This window comes from Homo sapiens, chromosome 3 (genome assembly GCF_000001405.40).
Source record: "Homo sapiens chromosome 3, GRCh38.p14 Primary Assembly".
NCBI classification, from domain to species: Eukaryota; Metazoa; Chordata; class Mammalia; order Primates; family Hominidae; genus Homo; species Homo sapiens.
The window spans coordinates 189,934,398-189,954,457 of record NC_000003.12 but is presented as its reverse complement, the minus strand read 5'-3'; the positions used below and the strand labels follow the sequence as shown (position 1 = coordinate 189,954,457).

At 41.8% G+C, this 20,060-nt stretch overlaps 2 annotated features.

Moving 5' to 3' along the window:
* Positions 16,009–17,208: an enhancer, noted in NCBI's record as "P300/CBP strongly-dependent group 1 enhancer chr3:189655039-189656238 (GRCh37/hg19 assembly coordinates)". NCBI's record gives its function as "activates an origin of replication core promoter dependent on BRD2, BRD4, P300/CBP, MED14 and CDK7 cofactors, with strong dependence on P300/CBP, by STARR-seq in HCT116 cells {active_cell/tissue: HCT116}" and the evidence as "EXISTENCE:reporter gene assay evidence [ECO:0000049][PMID:35650434]".
* Positions 18,497–19,696: an enhancer, noted in NCBI's record as "P300/CBP strongly-dependent group 1 enhancer chr3:189652551-189653750 (GRCh37/hg19 assembly coordinates)". NCBI's record gives its function as "activates an origin of replication core promoter dependent on BRD2, BRD4, P300/CBP, MED14 and CDK7 cofactors, with strong dependence on P300/CBP, by STARR-seq in HCT116 cells {active_cell/tissue: HCT116}" and the evidence as "EXISTENCE:reporter gene assay evidence [ECO:0000049][PMID:35650434]".

Below are 20,060 nucleotides of genomic sequence, written 5' to 3'. Positions count from 1 at the left end.
GTCCAGGTCTGAGCTAGAAGCACAGTCTTTTGGGTCAGAAGGGAGAAAAGAGCACCAGGGTTGTTGCTCCCCTGGCCGTGCTTCTAGGCATATTAAATATAAAATAATAAATGTGAATAAAAAAGTCTGATTTTACCAAATCAAGAAAACCTTTTTCTCCTCTTTTATTTTCCTGCTGAGGGATGTATGTTGGCATACTTCCTCTTCTCTCCTCTGTGATATATTGAATACGAGTTGTATTATTCAATTTGATTCAGCCCTATTTTTAAAGACATACCTTGAGCCTTGAACTGCTTTTATGAAGCTCACAAAAGGGAAGAGGATTCTAGTCAGGTATCATTTTTCTCTCCCTCAAAGGCAAAAAGAATCTTGAACTTAAATTTCTTCTTTAGAAAAATCTGACACAGGACAGAGTGATACTGTGGATGGGCGAAGTGCTTTCTTCACAGCCCCGAACCTACATTGTTTGACAAGGAAATCTCAGTTTTAACGCACTCTTAAGACTTTTAATGCACTCTTCATCATTGACATCATAACATTTTTGGCACTTCCTCAGCTGAGGAGAAGCCATGGAATGAGTCAGTGCTATTTAATAATATATACCTGTGAATTTTAATTGAAGTACAAATGCTGAATTATTTCACACAAGAGAACCACAGGGAATGACTCCCTCACTGACGTCAAGAAAGGAGGTAATGGGGGCCGCCTCACCAGTTCCTTATGCCAAAGCATTGAACATTCTGAGCTGACTGACAGTGGTATGGCTGAGAAGTGGGAAAATGTTGACCTGTTCCCACATCCAGAGCACTTTAGGGAAACAGGAGCCATTGGCAAAAACTCCAGACCACAAGTCCGTGTTACAAGCCCTCTCTGCCTCCTGCCAAGAAGGCTGTGATGTGAAATGACGTCTCACATAGTTCCAACTGCCCACCCACAAATCCTCTACTCCCTGATAATTTGATGTTTCCAACAGGAGGCATATAGACTTTTTTTTTTTTTTTTTTTCTCCTGAACCTGGTTGATTTCTTCAAACACATCAAAACAAGTAACATCAGCCACTCATTGAGCTCACTGCTGGGTTGGAGCTGCAGACTCATTCTGTCAGAGCTTCCCCTTTACCTCCTCCTCCTTGTAATTCACAGTGTTTTCTGTGCCCACTGCTGACCTCCGAGGCTGGGCAAAGCCAAGTTGGGAACAATCTGACTATTGATTCTGTTTCACTCTACAATGGATGGCATCAGCTGTAAAAAGTTGGGTTAATGAGGCACCTCTGGCTTCAACTATCTTATTAAGGGCCCGCAATAAAAATAACCAAACAAGATGTTCCTATCATTTTTTTTCCAGACATGTTGCTGGGGAGGAAAATCTAAATGAATGCTTCGTTTAGTCAACATATGACACATGTTTTCTAGTCATTTTATATGGTACATTTAGGAGAAGGGAGAACAAAAGGTGAATAAGACATGCTGTACCCCCTCTCTTTATTTTGGTAGAATGGCCACAGAGGAGAGCCAGGGTAGCCTAGAGTTTGACAGTCTTTCTACCTTAACAGTCCCTTTTATAATTATCTGATATCTTCTGCTTTTGAAGGACGAATCAATTTCGAATAGATAAGGCCACGTGCCTTCTTGATTTGAGCCTCATTTCAACAGTGAATTGAGTGTTACCTATATATATGGGAATCTTGCCCTGGGCCTCTCTCATCAGACCTAGGTGCCTTCCCGCATGACGGCAGCGTGATGACATCGGTCCTAATAATCTTATCCAGACCCGAGGTAAACCCTCCTCTCTTATTCCAAGTTTATGTTTTTACCTCTGAGTTACTACCTGGTGGTGGGTGGAGGTAGAAATAGGGAATGGACAATAAGCATTACCTGGTATGTCTCATCTCTTTCCACTTGTTAATCGTATATTCCATTGTTTCAAAGGTTGTAATCGTGGTTGGCTTTATAAAGCTTTTTTATGGTCTTGAAGCACGTAGCAATCATATGTAACTACATAATTATCTTGAGAGACACGTCAATGCCATCTTCATTGTGTAAATGGGAAAAAACAAACAGGCACAGAGAAGGTGATGTCGTAAAGCCCTGGTCATGTATGAATTCATTTCACAGAGAGTTTTTGAGTGGCCGTGCCGTTGTAGGCTTAGGGAGGCATTTAAAGATGAATAAAATGTTATCCCTTCTTTTAAGGAACTCAAAGTGGAAAAAAACAGATGTAAACAAATGATCAACTTAAAGTAAGGTGAATGTTACGGCAGAGGATTGTGATAGGGGTAGGAGGAAAGGTCATGCAAGTGGGAAAGGAGTGGTTAGTGGTAGGGAAAAGTTGGAGAGAAGGTGACAGGTGAGCTGGATCTGGCCTGACTGATCTGCCACCAATACGTGGGAATGAGCCACTTAACCTCTCATTGCATCACAGTGTCCTCAGCTGAAAAGTGTTGCATTTGAACTGAATGATTTCTTGGGTTCTAAAGGACTGAGCCTTCGGAGAAAATGAGAGTTCAGAAAGTTGGTGTTTTGGGGTGGAGTGGAATGAGATAGCCTTCGGAAAGCAGTTTAATGAATGCTGTGAAAATCTTAATAAATACCAGTTAAAGAGTAAGTTTTATTGTATTCACTTGCAAGGGAGGTATTATTCAAGTGGGTAGTGTGAAAGCCCTGAAGGACTGAGCTTCCTTCTGAAAAGCAGAGGAGTAGCTACTATCAGAAATAGCTGACGTGAATTCATCGTTGAGACTAAAGTCAATGGGCTCTACCAGCAGCATATTCCTCTGCCCATAAGTCCATGAAACTTTCTACCCTACATGACCTGGAACTAATCTACTTCACTCAAATTATTAGACTTTCGTATCAGAAATGGGAATAATGACAATATTGCAGCACACAGGTATGTTGTCTGAAAAGCCTAGCATTTGGTAAACTCAGTCAGTCTTTTAATAAAACCCGAAAGCCATGTAATGCTTTACTAATGACATCTTTTCCAATGTCAAACAAGGAACAGAAGGAATCATTGAAAGAAAACCATCTCCAACAGGAGTTAATTGGAGCAATTTACCTCATTTAAAACCAAAGGGTCAAATAGGACATAAAGCAACAAGCATCCAATCACCCTTTTTGTTCTCTGTACCTGTTTTTTGGTGTGTTAAACTTTGCAAATGCCTTTGAAGGTCTTAGGCAATCAGACTACTTAGATTTAGAATAAATTATAGAGTCCCTGAGGCTCAGAAGCTGACTTCAAGGCTTCCGGTCACTGGAGTAATATTCTGGTCTATCACGATAGTCCAGTGTTTAGCAACATTTACTGAATAGATGCTAGAATTTTTATTATATTTCAAGTTCAGAATTTCAGGACTTTTTTTTCACAAGGTAATATGAACCAGAATTATATTTCTTTGAAGTTAACATTGGTTAATTAAATAAAGACTACTTGGAGATTTTCAACCCTTCAGCATCCCAGATAAAGGTGTAAACATCTTTTAGGACAGCTGGATTCTCAGTGGTCTTAATCTGCAATTTATTCTAACTTTAGCTACTTAGTATTAAGTAAAGAACAGGCATGGGCGGTATTGTTGAAGCTCCCTTGCCTAGACAGAGTAAAGATTTCTGGGAAAGTAGTCCACTTCATCGTTTAGCATTGGGTTCACTAAGTTTTTCACGACATCCCAATAGATGTGATGATTATTCTCATATAGTGGAAAAAATAAAACACCAGAATAGATAAATAATTTGACAGAAGTCAAAGTCAGTAGATGTCAGTTCCTCGAGTTAAAAAAAAGTTGCTGAACTCTCTAAGAAGATTTTGCAGTTTTGATGTTTTGAATAACTAGGAAGCAGTAGGAATTATTATGAGCTTATCTGACACTAGATCTCACCCACTCCCCCACACTCCAGTGCAAATCCAGAAGGAGGCGACATCTTCAGCAAGATGGCTGCTGCCACTGCTCTGAGTTGGTTAGACATGATTAAAGCTCTGTCTAAACATGCCCTGGTTTCCTCACAGGGAGCACTTTCAGCCTTCTCTGAACTTCCAGGCCGCAGGGCTAAGCACAGGGTACAGATTTTTCCTTGCAGACGTTTGGCTTCTGAGTGATGTTTTTTTTGTCTCTAAGGGTAATAAAAGTACATCAGATGTTGCTCCCTGTACCAGAAAGTTTGCTTTGAAGAACGCGTGAGCCGCTTCAAAGGCTAGGCATGCTGCAGAGATGGCTGTCCCCGGAGACTGTGAGCTATCGGGGTGTGCCTATTAACTAGGGACACGTTGCCCACCAAGCCACTTACCAGCTAAAGGCTGATTGTCAAAAATGTCAAATGTGACAAATTGGCGTGCCAAAACTGAAAACTGCCCTACCTTCAGAATCAGCATGAAATAAACTATCATGCCTTGAACTCTGTGGTCAAAACATGTCATTTATGTGTAGAAGGATTTACAAATTAAATAGAATGATATTTGAATGACCATCAACGTCAGCACAGAGGGCTTTTCATTATTGATCTGAGGTCAACGTTTAACTCATCAGAGCAGGCTAAACAGGGAAGATCAAGTCCATGGTAGGGACCCCAAGGAAGAATCATAGCCACAATTGTGCTTTGTATTTATAGCTTAGCAAGTGAACGACACTGCAAACAACTGACTCCAAGTTGGAAGGGACCTTAGAAAGCACCTGACCTTATGCCCTTTATTTTAGAGGTGGAGAAATGTGAGTTACTCAACTTTACTGAAATGTTAGTGGTAGAAATATGGACTCAAAACCAGCTCCTCTGACTCCTAGAGCGGCAGACCACACTGAGAAGCTATGGAATTGCAGAGAAGAGTGCAGACTGTGTTACCATGGACTTGCAGCCCTTTCTGCCTTTTACTGGCCTTTAACGCACATCTGTTCAGTGTCTTTATCTATAAAGAAAAGGCTGGTAATATCTATTTCATAAGTTATCTAGAGATTTCATTGGCCAGGCATGATGGCTCATGCCTGTAATCTGAGCACTTTAGGAGGCCAAGGCTGGAGGATCACTTGAGGCCAGGAGTTTGAGACCAGGCTCGGCAACATATGGAGATACTGTCAGGAAGGGAAGGGGAGGGGACGGGAGGAGAGGGGCAGGGAGTGGGGGAGGGGAGGGGAGGGAAGGGGAAGAGAAGGGAAGAGGGAAAGAAGGAAGGAAGGAAGGAAGGAAGGAGAAAGGAAAGAAAGAAAGGAGAAACAAAGAAGAAAGAGAAAGAAGAAAGAAAAAGAAAGAAAGAAAAAGAGTAAGAAAGAAAAGAAGAAAGATTAATTGAGATTATAAAAAGAGAGCCGAACACATAGCAGGTAATCATTAAAAGACAATGACTTGTGACTATATCAGAACACCTAAAATGAAGGAAAATGAATAGGACTGTGAATTCTCTGGCAATATTTCACCTGCTCTCATGACTTTTTTTTTTTTAGTGCATTATCCCTTGATCAACCTCAGAACCTTCAAGGTTAATTTTCATACAGTTACATTTAGAAATAGTCTGATCATATATAACACACTTATTGCTAGGGCAGGGGCACAGGAGAAGAGAAACTTGTTACAAAATTACAAAATTGAGAGTGTTTGAACTCCAAGCTGGTTGTCAATCAGCAGTCCAGAAAAGAGAGGCTTGTCTTGTCTGCAGCCACCTCATTTGGTCCTTCTGACAGCCTAGCTTTCTGTCTGCACTGTGACATTACAGCTACTTTGTTTGTGCCAAGCACCTTGAAAGACACAATTTTTACCTATTTCCTTTTACTGAGCTTTCTGTCACTTGCTTTTCAACTGTGTAAAAAACAGAATCGTTAGTCAGCAGCAGAGGGCACTATTAGCATATTTTGCTGTGAGGGGTTAAAAATAAAAAAGAAAGATGCCTCTATGCATTCATTCATTCGTTCATTTTAGCAAGTCTTGATTTAACATCTACTATGTTCTCAGCATTTAGAGAAATGCTAAACAAGCATGAGATGTTGCATTTATAGTCCAGGTGGGAACATGATATGAAATGATACATGTGGTACATGCCTGAATGCAAAGGGTATATGTTTTGGAGGTTTTTGAGGACAGCAGAGTTCAGTTCGGTAGGCTAGTGTGACCCAGGAAGTATTTGGCAGGAAGTTAGTCTAGAGTTGTTTCTTAAATGACGAGTATGATATGGAGTGGTAAAGATAAAATATATAAAAGATAAAATAGACAACATTAAAAAAATCAGTAAGTCATGCATTGCCATGAATATCAACACTAATTGTTGACAACCACTACCCTGACAAGTATTACTTACCTCTACTGCTTATAATAGTCATCGTGGCTCACACGGGTAGCTGCTTTCACAACCATGATGTCATTTTGCCCTTGCTGTAATCCTGTGACTTCAGCTCTATAGGTATTATTATCCTAATTTTACTATGAGAAAATCAAGGCTTTTAGAGGGAAAGTGACTAGCTTAAGCTCACACAGTCACTAGTACTGCTGGGATCCAAAACTGGTTTTCCTCCCTGCTACTGCAGCAGGAAACCATAAATTTGTAACATAGACTCCTCTGGAAAAGAGGGTTTGGGATGTGAAATTAAAAGGAAAAGTCACAGCTGTTAGGCTACCTACAGGTTACCGAGGGCTTGATCGAAAGCTAAACTGAGGCATTGGGGCTTGATCCTGTAAACCTCAGGGAGGATTCTGAAGTTTGGGAGAGCTCGACACAGGTGGTTATAGATTGTAGTTGTTAGATTAACAAAGTCAGCCTGAGAAGGATTGGAGGAAAAAAGGTCAATTGTCAGGGATACCAATAAAGCAAATGTTACACTAATCAAGAGTTGAGTGGGAGGGAATTTGGGAGTAGTCTGCCCCAGTGGGAAGGAGATTTTATCTTTGTCATTGTCTATAGTTGCTGGCACATAGAAATAATACAAGGCAGGCTAATTTCGAATTGGTTTTGTATTGGTTTTAGACCTCTAAAGACAACACCTCGTCATTGCCTGCACCCAGGGGTATCCAATCCTACTGATTGCCTAGCTTAGTCCACCACTGCCAAGGCACATGTGAGGAAGCCTGAGGCAGGCTGGCAGCCGTGGAACTTGCGGGTAAAGGACTAAGCAGAGACATCCTGAAGGAAAAACAAATCAGAACTTGGAGGCTGTCAGAGTCACCAAGAAGAAAAGATAAAAATTATGTCTCTGAGCTGTTGAGCCTAAGAAAATAATGATGTCAGTGATGCAAGCAGAGAAACGAGGGAAAACATCAACTAGTTTCATAGGGAATTTGACCTTATTACACAGAAGGACTCCCAAGTAGCAACTGAACACTTAGCTGGAATGTTTTCGTATAAATGTATTTCCTACTCTGTTTAGTGATTTCTTGCTTGTCATCTTTTTCTTTACCTGAAAACTTATAAATTACTTGTAATAGCTCTTCTACAGGTAAATTAACAGAGGTGACAGGTAACACTGAGTTGTTAGTGCTAACACTCCTTGCTTAAAACCCTTCCAATGATGTAGAAACAAATCCCAGCGATCTTCTGGCTTCCTCGCCGTACGCTGGTGCCCTTGCCTACCTCCTCAACCCTGCATGCTGCCACTTTCCTCCTCTTTATTCCCTACCCTGTAGCATGGCCCTCTCTTGTCTCTCAGATGTTTACATTCAATTCTCTCTGCTGAAAACACTGTCCTCCCACCACCACTCTGGTTTCACCAGGAAACTCCGACCGTGGGTGGTCACCCATCCCACTTTCCCTGGGACCGAGGGGTCTGAAAACCAAACTTGGACAGTTGGTCACTCTACATCATGTTGTGGCTTAGGTCTGGAATATTTCTTCCTCTAGGAAGCCTTCTCTGATGCCATGTACTCCTAGGCTAAGTTCGGTCTCTCTGCAGAGTAGTCCAGACCCACCCTTCCTTACCCTTCTCACACCCCTCATTATTGAGTTTATATTCATGTCTTCTGCTGTCCATGGTAGTGGACTTTGTGCCATCACCACTCTCACCATCTTCGTCTAAGCCACCATCATCTATCTCTCTGCTGAATTACTGCAGTGTCCTCCTAACTTTTCTTTTTGCTTCCACTCTTGTCCTCTTTCGGTGTATTCTCAACCAAAAAGCCAGCGGTATCCTTTTAAACATAAATTAGCTTATGTCATTCCTCTGCTCAAACATCTTTCATTGGTTTTGCATCTCATTGGCTAAGTCATTAGAACAGCCACCAAGACCTGAGGCAGCTACCTCTCTGTTCTTATATCCTATATACTCTCCCCTTGCTTAGTTGGCTGCAGTGGCACTGGCCTCCTTACTCTTCCTAGAACATGCCTGTTGCCTAGCATGCTCCAGCCTCAGGGCTTTGCATTTACTGTTGTTTATGCCTGAGCCATTCTTCCCTCAGGTGTCTACGTGGCTCATTCCCCATGTCTATCTAGTTGAGATCAAAGATCACCTTCCTGGGGAGGTCCGCCATGACCTCTCTCTACAACTGAACTCCTGCAGTCAGCATTCTCACTCCCTCTCTCTGCTTAATTTTTTCTTTTTTTTTTCTTTATTTTATTATTTTTTTTGAGACGGAGTTTCACTCTTGTTGCCTAGGCTGGAATGCGATGGTGCAATCTCGGCTCACCACAACCTCCATCTCCTGGGTTCAAGCAATTCTCCTGCCTCAGCCTCCTGAGTAGCTGGGATTACAGACACGTGCCACCACGCCTGGTTAATTTTGTATTTTTAGTACAGACGAGGTTTCTCCATGTTAGTCAGGCTGGTCTTGAACTCTCGACCTCAGTTGATCTGCACACCTCAGCCTTCTGCTTATTTTCTTCATAACCCTTAATATCATAACTTCCTACTTATGTGTAATCTAACTTGATTTATTGACTACCTCCTTCTGCCCAGAATAAAGTTTCTAAGACAAGAGTTCCATTCATTGCTATATTTCCACAGTTTAAAATATTACATGACACAGATAAGAAATGCATAACTATTAATTAAATGAGTAATTAATTAATGTACACACAATTAAATGAAAGAGTGAACAAACACATTGGAAAGGACAACTGACTGAAAGTCACAAATTTTAGCTTAATCACTCAGGATTTGGGAGGCTCTGAGAAAATTACCCTCTAACTCAAATTCTTAATTTCTCCAACTAAAAAATGAAGGCATTAGTCTCAATACTCTTTGAGAATACTATAAGTAATGGTACTGTCAAAGTCTAGGAGCCAATAATAAGTATAAACTAGAATCCAAATTTGTTGCTAAACAGGGTCCGAAAGCAATAAACAATAACAAGGGAAAGAGAAGCATTGTGCAAATTCCAACTGAGAAAAAAATATATACAAGAAACATGAGAATTCCATATGTGAGGAAACACACAAAAGGCAGGTGACTGGGGCAAGCTGACACAGTCAATTTGTTACAGGGCTAGGATTGAACCTCAGCCCAGGGATATGTTGCCCTGGCAGCCTGGAAGAGAGAGTCAGTCCCCATCTGATTACAAAGCCCTGCACTGATACAATTTGTGACGAGAACACTGCCTGGAAATCTTTCCTCGTACCCGCCTAATGGCCCCCAGAGTGGGTGGATTCTCGAATTAGTCATATGAGAACAGAAGGCTTAAGAGAACACACATCTAAGTTCTAGGCTGTTCCACTTAGAAGAGTATCACGTCTTCGGAAATGGAAAGCAGTGTCACCGTGCGCACAACTTTCTGCCTACTGCAACACTGTCTCCGGTGGGAGCAACAAGCTGGCCACCATTTTAGGGCAAAGGGGGAGGGTGGAAGGGACTGGACTGGTAAATTTGAAACAGACACTGTAAGCACTACAGCTGCCACACCCTGAGTGCGAGGAACAAGACCGGTTATTCAACTTCCCCTGTATAGCTACTGTATGGAAACGATGCCCAGTAAGGTCAGAGAGTTATCCTGCAGTAACCAAACCCATGGTGTTGCACTGATTATCAGAGCGATCTGCTTCTGCCGTTGTGGTTGAGTAGGATTTTGCTGTTGTCACCTTGTTTGGTAATGCAGAGATAGCCAAGTGTTGCAGATGTAATTGTCCCTATTAAAATATCCTCTTGGCAGTTCCTGGTGTGTGTGTGTGTGTGTGTGTGTGTGTGTGTGCTCATGTGTATCTCTATGTGTTTACCAACCTCTTCAATCTTCACAGAGCAGCTCTGGGAACCTGGTTTCCACCTTAAGGAAGTAATCATAAGTGGGACTAAGATCCAACTAACAGATACCAAACGCCTAGTTCATGCTAGTCATTTTCTTGGACGTTTTGTGCTGATCTAAAACCTCGAGAGCCAGAATGATTGGTTCCATTTATAGACAAGAAAACTGAGGCTCAGAGAAGTTGGGAGGTAAATACTCAAGGCTCTACTGAGAGCAAGTTGTCAAGTCAGGATATAAGGATTTTAGGATTTGTCTGCCAGACACAGAAATATTTCGTCAAATAAAATCTTAGGCAGACTACCACTGTAAACAGCAGGAAAAATCAGAGCTTCTTGGGCTGAAGCAAGAGTCAGGAATTTGGAGCTCTCTCCGCTAACCCCTTCTCATCTTTCCCCATGGTCTTCCTAGAGCTCTGTGGAACACATCTGAAAAGGCTTGCTGGGTGAACTTGATTTCACTCCCAGCTCTAAAGTTCTATTAATCTAAGATTCGCAGAAGTTCCTGCTCATATCCGGATGTAGACTATTTACTCCTTTCTTTGGATGAGCACTCAGTATTCAGACCTCCGATATGGGAATCTGAATTTATTCACAGTTTACAGAATCATAGACTACTAAGAGTGGAAGAGACCGTAGAAATTAATAAAGCTGGTAACTCTACATTTTAACTATATGATAATCCTTTTTTATTTTCACTGAGTCATAGTAACCCAGAAAAAGAAAATGATTTTCCCGGGGCAGTCATCCAGTCAGTTGTCCTCTGTCCTCCAAAGAGGTGACATTTATAATATATAACAAGCAGTACATTCTCAACAACCAGAACAAATAAAGCATAGGGCAGGGGCCAGGGCCACAACCTGGATTGTGAGGAGGTCTCAAGGTTTTAAAGGAGGAACTGAGGAGGCTAGAGGCAGAGGTTGCTGTGGTTCAGGGGCTGGGGCTGGGGAAAGTGGCTATTTATGAATTGTCTGAATTTTGCCCTACTGCTGATGCTGCTTCCTTTTCAGAAGGGGACAAAAGAGGCAGGGAGGAGCAGATCTTCTGCCAGTCAAATGTCACATTAAAGAATTCCACCCAGATCCACACAGGTGCAGACACCTGAGGGGCATTGCCGTTCAGATAGTGCTGTCTCTGGTAATTGGGTTGACATCATCTAGCAGCCTTAGAGGATGTGAATCCTTTCCATGACTCCTGTCACCTTCTATCTGGCGGTGAAGACTGCAGGCTGGAACCTGAGTGATTATGCAAAAGCAGACACAGGGAACCTAGAAGATCACACTGCTCAATAGAGAGACTTTCCCCTAAGTTCCAATCCAAATACCCGAGGAAAAGCAAAGGGCTGAGACCCCACTTGCCTAGAAATGAATACAAGGAGGGAGCCAAGAGTCATTATGAAATTATGTGCCTATGGGAGTGGAAATCTCTCTAGTGGTCACTTCTTCCAACACCCCGTCTAAGGCTTGAATTTTCAGGATGAACCATCATCCCCGGCCCCAACCAGACTGAAAGATGCTTTGTTCCAGAATGAGCCTTGTTCTTCCTCCCTTCTAGATCTTTCTCTATATAGTCTTGTCTGCCTGCAAACCCTCCCTCTTTCCGTGCTTCCTTTGGGGCCTATCTTCTACTCGCCTTCCATGTCTCTTTTTAGATAATATTTTTTTTTCAAGCAGTTTTCTCTGGTCCTCCGAGTCTGCATTAGGTGCCTCTTAGATATACAACTATAGCTGTTGGAACTTCACACATGCAGCATTTATTACAATCATGTTTTCATCACTCTCTCTTTCCTGGACTATGAGCTACATTGGGATGGGAGGGATTGGTTCTGTTAAAATTTTAACAGCAGCTCCCACCACGGGGCCTAACCCAACAAGAGCATTCAAAAAACATGAATGAATGAATGAATGAATGAATGAATGAATGAATTGCTATATCTTGACTACCGATAAAGTGTTTACATTCAAAATCCTATAATCATACCATACTTATGACAAAGATAACATGTTTTATGATTATAAGAAGTAATATTTTAATTTTCATTTTATGAATGAAGAAACAGACTCAGAAAAGAAAGCAATTGATATGTATTTAGCACACATGTGAGCCATTTATTGTCCTAGATGTTTTCAAATCTTTTATTATTATCCTCACCCTTATTTTAATCACTCTTTAGAATTTATTTGCTTTTAAAATGTGTATACAGTACAATTCATTATTTTCAGGTTCACTTCTATGGGTCACAAATGCGTGGAGCTGTGAGACCACCACTGTAATCATGACACAGAACTTTCCTCCTCCCACCCACCCCGCTGCCCTTTGTGTCATTCCCTCCTGACTCATTCCTGGGCAATCACTGGTTTGCTCTCCACCCCTACAGTTTGTCTAGACACATTTTTAACAAATAAAAAAGCAAGGCTCAGAAAGTTTAAGTAACTTGCCCAAGGTAAGCAGCTAATAGGTGATTAGATTTAGCCTTTGAACCCAGCACTTCTGATTCCCTGTAAAGGCTGGAAAACATGAGTGTGGAGCCAAGGAAAACAGCTGTCACATTCTCTTGTCTACCTCCCACCTTCCATAGAGAGGCCTTTGTTCTTAGTGTTCTATTAGAGGCAAGGCAAACACGGCCTCATTACCAAAGGCAAAATCTGATAAAGTTCCACCTCTGATCATCCACTAAGTGCTGAGGGAAGACTCTGTTCCTACCTAGCAGAATAATCTGAAAACCATTATGATCTGCAGCCTGTTTAGCTGACTATGGTGTAAGGCATTGGTCTTTTTCCAGTTCCCTCACTTATCTCCAAGAAAAGAGGGCTCTGAAAGGAGGTCACTGCTAAACATCTAGCCTCCCAATTCACCAGCTTCCCCACTAAGGCCCGGGGGCCCTTTGCTAGACATAGGTAAGACCACAGGTGGGCCTTGCTTGCACAAAGTGGATGCTGCTGCTAATTGGGTTGATGTAATTAACTGTCATTGTTGTTCACCCGGGAAGACAGCCATAGTCTCAGCACGAGCAGCCTATCTGGGCCAGCCTGTGGCAGCAAGCACAAATCTTATTGGAGCTCCAAAAGCAAACAGGTTTAGAGGCAGCTTCAAAGGTGAAGAGCTGGGCTGCCGCTGGGAGAAGGCCATTTCCCTGGGAGGCGTTGGCTTTGTAGGCCATGAGGGATAGAGAAATCATTTTATCTTCATCCTGCTTTTAATCAGGATGGCAGGATATTGGTGCCACTTTTGTTTAAAGATAATCTTTCTCTTTCCTAAATTAAAAAAAAACAAAACAACTTGTTTGAGGCTGAAGGAAAATAAGTGAGCTGAGATCTGCCCTAACAGAGGGAGAAAATAGCTATAGGCCTCCTCTTTCTACACTGGGCCCCACCACAGCTCCTTCTCCCCACCATCCTGAGACCCCAACTCTCTTTCTTCCCTAAGAAGATACCTTGAAAAATTATTTGCAATTCATGAAGGCTGAATCGCTCCCCATCCCCAGCCTTTAGGCTCACAGCCTTTGCTACAAAATGCCATCTAGCTGTACCCAGTTAAGTTAGATCTACCTGTGAGGGTTTCTCGGATCAGTAGCCCAGACATGTTAGGTGGGGGAGTCTCCAGAATTTGCATTCTGCATTCTCTGTAATAGACCAAACCCAAGACTCTAACACAAAACTAGGAACAGCAAATAGTGAAAGACATTTCACAGGCTATGGAAACCTCAATACTGTCCTGGTTAATAACTAGCTGTGGGATTTTGGGTGAGTTGTTTGTGTTCTGAACATCATCTTCCTCCTCTGTGCAATGGAAGAAATAATACCTATTTTTACTGGGTTGTAGAAAGAATAATGCATGTAAAGCGGCATACAGAACACATCAATAATAGTAATTATGATCATCCCATCATCACCATCACCATTTACTCAACAGAGTTTTGTTCAGACAACAATGTTTGGATATTTCTGCAAATTATATACCTAAGTTGTTCTCTGCCTTTTGCTGCCAATCCACAATATGATACAAGACAAGGAATGCTCCAGCCAATGTCCTGGATAGAACATTTGCCCTGAGAGCTTCTTCGTTTCTACCTTAGACTGGGTTACACACTAAGAAGTATATAGAAGGGTCCTCTCTCTCCCAGAGAGAGCCCAGAGCTCAGAGCCCAGGAGTAAGTGAATGCCACTAGCCCTTGCCTTTTTCTTCCACAGCCTACCTGGTCTCTTTGAACCCACAGAAACAAAATTCTCTCCTAAATAGCGGGCAATTTATGGTAAGAAAATCTCAAGAAACCACAGGCCAGCAAGGCAAAAATGAAAACCCAGATATCCTTTATTCTTGTTCTTCTCCAACTAGCTTTCCCAGTCTGGAGAGGTATGCCCTAAAGGTGGAGCCATTCCTTTGACTCAGGGTGGACATTTTTTCATCTCCTCCAATCTTTGCCTGTTTTAGGTAGAGTTCTCTTGTTGTGATGTCTGGGCATCAGAGGAGAGGGTATGAGGCCCACAGAACAGGTGTGTTCAAATCATTAAATGGGAGATAATTTGAACGCAGAAAACTACCTCTTTTTTTTTTTTTTTTTTTTTTTTTTGAGACAGAGTCTTACTCTGTTGCACAGGCTGGAGTGCAGAGGTGTGATCTTAGCTCACTGCAACTTCCGCCTCCCGGGTTCAAGCAATTCTCTTGTCTCCACCTCCCAAGTAGCTGGAATTACAGGCATACACCACCATGCCCAGCTAATTTTTGTATTTTTAGTAGAGACAGGGTTTCATGATATTGGCCAGGCTGGTCTTGAACTCCTGACCTCAGGTGATCCACCTGCCTTGGCCTCCCAAAATGCTGGGATTACAGGTGTGAGCCACCACGCCGGGCCAACTACCTTTTATACTACAGCTAACTACTAGTGTAGGATGGTTGATGTGATGATTCCCTTGTTGCCTAGTTTTGTGGATTTAAATGATAGAAGAGCTGCTCATCTTACAGTCATTTAAGCTACCTCATCCCTTTCCTTTCTTAGACCTTGGCAACCTGAAAATATGGGCATAAAAAAAAGGATGGGGATCAGGTAAATAATTAATTCCTGCGGCTGGGCACAGTGGCTCATGCCTGTAATCCTAGCACTTTGGGAGGCTGAGGTGGGTGGATCACCTGAGGTTGGGAGTTCGAGACCAACCTGACAAACATGGAGAAACCCCGTCTCTACTAAAAATAAAAAATTAGCCGGAGGTGGTGGTGCATGCCTATAATCCCAGCTACTTGGAGGCTGAGGCAGGAGAATCACTTGAACCTGGGAGACAGAAGTTGTGGTGAGCCGAGATTGTGCCATTGCACTCCAGCCTGGGCAACAAGAGCGAAACTCCATCTCAAAAAAAAAATATATATTAATTTGTAAGACAGTCCCTTGATACATAGAAATCCTGGCAGTAGCTCTGAAGTTAAAGGGTGTATTTTGGTGTCTTTGTCTACTGCATGTAGACTAACTTCTTATCACATTAATTCTTGGTATTTAAGGTTTAACCTTCAACTTAGGGCATTGAGCTTCTATTGACATTGCCTTCAAATTTCCTGCCCTTCTGTAGGGGCAAAAATTAAGGACTAAGAGAAATTTTAAGATCTACTCAAGATCACACATGAAGTCATCAGAACTCCTGATTCTCTCTCCATTCCTGAACTACTCTTCCAGCCGTCTTGCTATCTCAGATCCTCCTCCATAAATAAACATTTTAATTGTCACTTTTTTACTATATTAGGAACTATGTTATCTAATAAAAATAGAAAAGAGAAACACAAAAATATTAATACTAGTTATATCTAGATGATGGCATTAAATGTCAATTTTTTTGTTTTTCTTCCCATATTTTCCAATCTTTAACACTGAACCATTTATTAATTTTATCCTAGATATATGTATGTGTGTGTGTGTGTCTGTGTGTGTGTATACACAATTTATTTCATAAGGCTGCATACAGTGGTATACAAAAGTCCTTTAAATAGTCAAAAGACATAACCCATCTGAGTATTATTGCTACTCAGTTATTATTCAATCTCTTGACCACTCTGCAAACTGTTAGGCTTTCTCTCAAGCTTTTTCTGGAGAGCAACCCTAAACAAAGGTGTTAGGTTCAAGGATACTCAGAGATGCAGTCTGCCCTCTTCTAGCCATTTAAAGACAAAGTCACCTCAGCCCGTGCTTTCCTGTCACCAATGCGAAATGTAGCCAGTAGCACAGTCGTAGAATCACATCACACTCAATTTCGTGCTCTTGAGGTCAAGGCCCAGCAGAATGAAAGGAACTGGCAGGTGAGAGAACCTTGGGTGGAGAATAGAGCACTGAGTCATTAAATTCTCACCAGATGTTAACTGGAAGGCTTCGGCCCACCCAGTAGCCTTAGGCAAAGTCTCTTGGCCATTGTTTTCCCATCTGTAGGCTCTAATGCTGACCAACCATCCCCTCTGGCACCTTATAAGGGAAAGCTAATTAGAAAACTCATCTTGCAAGAATGCTGCAGAGAGACCTTTCACACATGGAGTGGAACCACAGTGCCTTGAGGTACTGTGACTCAGTGGTGTATCTGACTTCCAACACCCAGGCCTGATCATTCTCCAGCCAAAAGGAGGGTGACCTATCCAGCAAAAGCCAGGCAAATTCCCACGGGGCCAGTCACAAGGATAGGGCACGGGAGTGGCAGGTCCTCACAGTGCCCTAGAAAGCACTAATTACACCCATAGTCTCAGGAAGAGAAGGGAAGAGGTCAGCCAACTCATTTGCTCATTTGTTTATTTTATTAGTACCTATCGTCTGCCCCTAAATATATTATTCCCTCCTCATGTACCAAGGATTGCATTATTTGCATGGGGAAAACAAAGATGAATCAGATAGCTCTGGCCCTCAGGTCTACTTAGAGGGAAAGATAAACCTTAAAATATTAAACACCTTGTAATCACTGCGAATGAAGGCATATACATGGAATGGAATAACATGGAATGACAAAGTCAGGTGTAGCTTAACTTGAGAGGGAAAGTGAAGGTTTACATGAGAATTAAATTAATTGTTAAGTGTAGAAAAATGAATAGGAGTTTGCCAGGCAGTGAAAAGCATGACAGCTAAGGGGATACATGTATATAAGTAAGTAAATAGGAACAGAAAAGATAGAATAAACAATCCAAGTGTTTAAAGTTCATTTCGTGCTCTAAACATTCCATAGATCTCAGCCATGTCATTCTCTAAAATTGTAATAAAAATTTTACCTCTGTTCACAGTAAAATTCTTATTTCCCAAGTAGTAGAGCACATTACAAGAGAGAGAACGGGAAAAAAGAGTTGAATAATCTAAGGCCTCCTTAACAAAACAAAACAACAAAACAAAACAAAACAACAAAACAAACAAAAAACAAACAAACCAAAAAGGTGCCGTGTCTTTTCTCCCAAGGTTCCAGGATGCTTTATCTTAGAAACAGTCAGAGGCCCTGCCCAAGCTGGCTCTGGGTTGTTCTTCTACTCCATCTGCCAACTTAATTATTTGATACACTTTTTCACTAGGATGGCTGGGAACCACCCAATAGCCATCTGTGTGTATGTGTGTCTTTTAAGGTTGCTATCCCTCATGTTTTATCTTCTGTTTTTATTTTTCTTATTTCCCAACTTCCCCTAGCCTTGGGTGTGTTCCTGTTTGGCCTCTGTGGGAGACACTCACGTGTCTCTCACTACCTTGTCAGTCTTGCTTTTTCCCCAATAATTTTCACCATTTCTCTCACCTCCTGAGACGAACCACTACAAGCAAAGCTGTGATATCTTTGCTCATTCCCTTTGCTTTGCTCTTATTTCTTCAGCTTAACATGACAAGGAAATAAAGTGCAGCCACAACGGCTGAGATGAAAAGGAGTTACATATTTTGGAGACAAGAGTGCCCTTCTTTTCCCTGGAGGCAAATGTGAGCACAGTGGTAGAGTCATCATCTTAACACATTGTTCTGTGCCCGGATCTTGTGTCATGTATAATGCAATAGATAGATTGTGCGGGCCTTGAAGTCAAACTCCTAAATGATTATGTAATATCATTCCACAGAGAAAGTAGAATCTCCTCAGGAGACTTATAAATATCAAGGTAGACATAGAAAGACCAGCAATGCCTTTGCAGAACATTCTTCTCTAGTATTTTGGTGCCTTTCTTCAGGAGCACAGATTTTGATGCATAGTCCATGGGCACAAACTTCAGCTTCTGTCCTGAGACTAGAAACGATCCACATGCACACTATTTTACTATTTTAAATTAACATAAATATGCCTTTGCCTGCAATTCCTTTCTTTTATTCTCAATGACACTACTGAGACATGAAGCCAGCTGGGCTTCTGGGTGGGGTGGGGACTTGGAGAACTTTTCTGTCTAGCTAAAGGTTTGTAAATGTACCAATCAGGGCTCTGTGTCTAGCTAATTGGGTAGGGGACTTGGAGAACATTTCTGTCTACCTAAAGGATTGTAAATGCACCAATCAGCGCTCTGTGTCTAGCTAAAGGTTTGTAAATGCACCAATCAGCACTCTGTCAAAATGGACCAATCAGCACTCTGTAAAATGGACCAATCAGCAGGATGTGGGTGGGGCCAAATAAGGGAATAAAAGCTGGCCACCAGAGCCAGCAGTGGCAACCCACTGGGGTCCCATTCTGCGCTGTGGAAGCTGTGTTCTTTCGCTCTTCACAGTAAATCTTGCTGCTGGTTTCTCTTTGGGTCTGCACTACCTTTATGAGCTGTAACATTCAATGTGAAGGTCTGCGGTGTCACTCGTGAAGTCAGCAAGACCATGAACCCACTGGGAGCAATGAACAACTCCGGCTGGACCACCTTTAAGAGCTGTAACACTCACTGTGAAGGTCTGTGGCTTCACTCCTGATGTCAGCAAGACCATGAACCCACCAGAACGGAGAAACTCTGGACACATCTGAACATCTGAAGGAACAAACTCCGGACACACCATCTTTAAGACCTGTATCACTCACCGCGAGGGTCCACAGCTTCACTCTTGAGGTCAGTGAGACCAAGAACCCACCGGAAGGAACCAATTCTGGATACACTACTACATCCATCCTTCTGGCAACATCACTTGAATAACATCATCCTTCTCTTTAAAAATCTTCGTTAGGTTCCCTCTGCATGCTATAGAGCCATCCGACTTAAAGTTTGTAGGCGTTCATCTAACTCTCCAACTTTATGTCTTAGTAGTCCCAGCCACATGTCCAATGCATATAGATTCAATGAAGTGCCTAAGGATCCAGGACACATGCACACCCAGCTGCTCACTGGAGACTGACTCATCTGTCCCTTTCTGCGTGGATTGCATTTCTTCTGAATCTCCAAAGAAGAACAGAAAACAAAACAAAATGGGGCTGTAATGTATGGATGACATTCCTTGGCTCTCCCCCATCCACTGTAACCATTCCACCTTTCAATATAATGCTAGTAACATTTTATCTGCATTTCTCATTTGAGTTCTAGCAACTTATCTCTGTCAATACCATTAAATTTTTCCCTTGTGAGTACAAAAGCAACTTGAGAGCAAGGATTTTGTCTGTCTGTTTTGTTCAATGGTGTATCCCAAGCACCCAGAATAGGGTTTGGAAGGTACTACATGCTCTATAAATAATTATTGAATCAATTAAATTAAATTTCATTAAATACCTATTGATCACCTATACTATGCTAGATATTGTGTTAGAGTTACTTATGTGCATATCTTATCTTTCCTAATTGACTGTGTGTTTCTCAAAGGCATAGAGAACATGGTTTATTCATCTCGAATGTACTTACCACAAGGCCTGCCTGGCACATGCTAAGAAGTTGGTAAACATTTGTTAAATAAATGACATAATGAATGAAGACATATCTTTATAGATAACAAACCTCACCCAATATCCTTTTATTTTGTAAAGAATTACTTTCTTTCTGCCTCTATTCT